General features: G+C 35.4%; 1 annotated feature.

Annotated features, from left to right (window-relative positions):
* Nucleotides 3,281-3,876: a transcriptional cis regulatory region, noted in NCBI's record as "candidate enhancer chr7.3907 targeted for multiplex CRISPR interference". NCBI's record gives its function as "positively regulates RELN gene expression with high confidence in K562 cells {active_cell/tissue: K562}" and the evidence as "EXISTENCE:mutant phenotype evidence [ECO:0000015][PMID:30612741]".

Genomic DNA, 3,876 nt, shown 5'->3' with positions numbered 1-3,876 from the left:
ATCAGGTAAGATCAAACCTGGGCACACTGGCTGAACATTACATCTCAGAAGAGGTGGATCCAGGCTTTGTGGGACATGAGACTTACATATAATCAAGAGGTCCTCTTTAAGAAAAAGAATACATTATGTATAAAAGGGATTTTTTAAGAGATAGAAAAATCACAACAAAGTAAAACATTTTAAAATCAAAGCAAAATATCACAAAATCCAGATAAATAGCATAATACTTTTATTAACTGCCTAATCCACTTATATTTCTTTAGCTACATTTTTAGGTGTATATTCTTCAATAAACTGCTTCAGATGTCATAAACTTCTTGTGCTTTAAGGAGTCATCATAAATTTTGGGGGCTCTTAATAAACTCCTCCACTCTGATTTGATATGAGCAAACTTGTCTGATGTCTTGTTAAAAGACATTACAAACAAAACAATAAAAGCATCCTCTACTTTTGCAACAGTCCAGATAGGATTTGATAGTGGTTTGACCATTTAAAAAGTTGTTTTTCAAAATATCTTTCTGAGAAGCTCTTTTGTCCATTGCATGATTTCTTTGATTCTCTATAAATCTTAGTGGGCTCAATCACAGTTTTGGAACTTTCAAAATAAACTCTCTCTCCTTAAAGGATGTTGAATGAAATTATTATCTATCTGAACAGGAAAAAATGAAGGAGCATGGTGTTTCTCCAAGTCAACAAATTCATCAAATTGAAGCTGTTTAGACATTCACCCATGTTCTATTGATCAAATATATTGTGTTTTTTTCATCTTCCTTTTCATCTTTATTTCCTGTTTAGAAGGGAACTAATTCACATAATTTTATTTTTTCTACTGTCATTTTTATCATCTATATTTTCTTGCCTATTTTAATTATTTCCTTGTCTTCATGATATTGACCATAGGAGTTTTTGATTCCCATTATTCTAGATGAGGTTGTTTTTGACATTTCAAAACTTTCCCCCATATCATTTATTTAGATTTACATATTTGTCATTCCTTAGACTAATTATTCCTCATGACATTTGAATATTGGTATAATCAACAATTATGAAAAACCATAAAATTTTCTGAATTTAAGTCATCCCTAAAGCAATGAAATGCATGTCATCAAATTACCCATACTAATATTATATACATAGTTCTACTGAAGAATATACTGAGAGATTTGTCACTGAAACACTTGTTTATTTAGGCCATTTCACTGCATTGGTGACAATTTTGTGTGCTGCTTTGTCTGGAACCATCAGATTATCAAAGCAAGCAAAATGCATTAGATACACTAAATACGTGATTCATTATATTTTATTATACAATCATTTAAAAATATAATTGTAAACACTGCATTATTTCATCATTTATGACAGCAGAGATCTTATGTTTTGAAACATTCAAATTAGAAGAATTAGGATTAGAAGAATGTGTTCACAGATTAGCTTTTGGCTTCATACATTTCACACCTTGTTACCTCTCTACTGTCTGCATATTTTTGGAGCCAGGGTCCATAGGACGCGTTGTAAGATGCAACTCCTATTCTGCACCTACATGTCATGGCTCGAGGTAGGTCAGCATAGTACCAGTAGAAATATTCCTAGAAGTCATTCTTTCAATAACTTTGCAATCACAGAGTGACGGTAAACCATATAAAAATATCCAACTAAACTCAAATGCAGTGAATCTCCAAATCAACTTTTCTTTAGCCATATCTAAAAAAATGCTCACAGTGACTCCAGTAACAGTCTACACAAAGAAAAATGTGATGGAGGAGTAATCAGAATAGAAAAAGAGGGTGATTTTTAAAAATGTGTTGAAAATATCTTACTTTTCAAATTTAAAAAAATACGGGCCAGGTGTGGTGGCTCACACCTGTAATCCCAGCACTTTGGGAGGATGAAGCGGGTGGATCACGAGGTCAGGAGTTCGAGACCATCCTGACCAACACGGCAAAACCCCGTCTGTATTAAAAATACAAAATTAGCCAGATGTGGTCGCACACGCCTGTAATCCCAGCTACTCAGGAGGCTGAGGCAGGAGAATCGCGTGAACCCAGGAGGCAGAGGTTGCAGTGAGCCGAGATCACACCACTGCACTCCAGCCTGGATGACAGAGTGAGACTCCGTCTCAAAAACAAACAACAAACAAACAAACAAAAAACATGTGAACCCAAGGCTTCTCTCAAGGCCTTAGAAGAGACTCATGAAACTGAAAGGCCCTGTATTTCAGCCTATGGCCCTCATGGGAAGTGGAGGTCCAATTTGATTATTTTTCCTATGAAAAACCAATTGTCTCATCACATTTATTGGAAAGTCAACTTTTTCTTGTTTTGATTTGCAGTGACAGCTGCCATATATTGCATTTCCATGTAATTGGGAACCCACATTCATATGTATGCACTGCACATACTCACTACTCTGGCTTATGCACTGCACATACTCACTACTCTGGATTATGCACTGCACATACTACTCTGGCTTTCCCTTATAGTTGGTCCCTTTAAAAAATTTTCTGGTCTTTTCTTTTTTAATTGATGTCCTTGAGCCATAAAACTTCCTGGTCTTTTAGTGATTTCCGTTTCTTTCTATAAGCCTGATAACACAAGAAGATTATGTTTTATGCTGGATCTACTTGTTTCACAGGAAGAAGGCCTTCCAGAATATCTAATACACTATACTGTCAGAAGCACATACTTCTCTCCTTGGAGTTTTAAATTATAGGTATTATATTTCTTACTTTGAGAATGGCTGGTCATTTTTGATGGTCTCTTATTTTTAGTTCTATTTTTGGAATATTATTTTACTTTTCTAAATGTATTAAATATACATATCTTAAATAACAGAGTTATTCCAACATCTGAAGTCTTTGTGAGTCTGATTGTGGTTACTTCCTGTTTCTACTGACCCACTGTGTTCTGCTTTCTCACAGTATTAGTGATTTTTGATTGTAAACACAACGTTCTGTGAATCTTCATCTGTTGTAGTTCTTTGAAGCCTGACTTAAAGAAATTGTTTTTGTTTTGTTTTTAGGGTCCATGCTAGAGGTGATTTGAATTTGGTTTTGCCAGGTGCCTGGGAACACTTTCAACCCAGAACCGCTTTAAAATTAATTATTAGCTTGAGGTTTTTAAAATCAAACAGAAATGTGAATTTGTGTCACAACCTCCTGAGAGCCAGATTGTGGTTTCAAATTTTAGTGAGAGAATTTCTGATTTTTTTCTAGTTCACCTTTCATTGAGGGCCGAGCTATTTGGGGATGGGTAATAGCTTTATGTATGGATTTTCCGGGACAGTACTTTGCATACTAACTCATAATCCATCACAGACAGATACTTTTGTAAAACTAAGGTCAATATGAATTACTAGGGACATGGAATGCTGCTTGGATACTACTGCTTATACAATAACTATGAAAGTTTTTAAACACTCTCCATTTCTGTACCTATCTCAACGTGTACTGGCAACAGATAGTTTGAAGACTGATCTGCAAACCACACTTTGAGTAGCACTATCCTATCATTCTTCCCACCTTGAGCAGGCCCTAAGCTTTATCTCCGTTCCCAACCCCACATGTCCGTCACAGTGGAAATTCAAGTGTTACTGAAGTGGGCAGATGTCTCAGAGTCCTGGGTGGATTACATACTCCATTCTTTATCTCTGGATTCCTGCTGTCACTTCATTTTTGACCTCTAAGGATTTATCTTTATTTCTCACTAATTCATCAATGTGTTAAAAGGAGTTTCCACCATGATCCAACACTCCCTCTCTTAACTGAAATGTACACACATGTTCACCAAAAGACACGTGCAAGAATATATTAACTGCATATTCATAGTTCCCCTAAACTGAAAATAGCCAAAATTTCCACTAACAAATAAGAAAATTGTG

Source organism: Homo sapiens, chromosome 7, assembly GCF_000001405.40.
Source record: "Homo sapiens chromosome 7, GRCh38.p14 Primary Assembly".
Classification (NCBI taxonomy): domain Eukaryota; kingdom Metazoa; phylum Chordata; class Mammalia; order Primates; family Hominidae; genus Homo; species Homo sapiens.
Note: the sequence above shows the minus strand (reverse complement) of the source record. Positions and strands in the feature narration are given on the sequence as shown.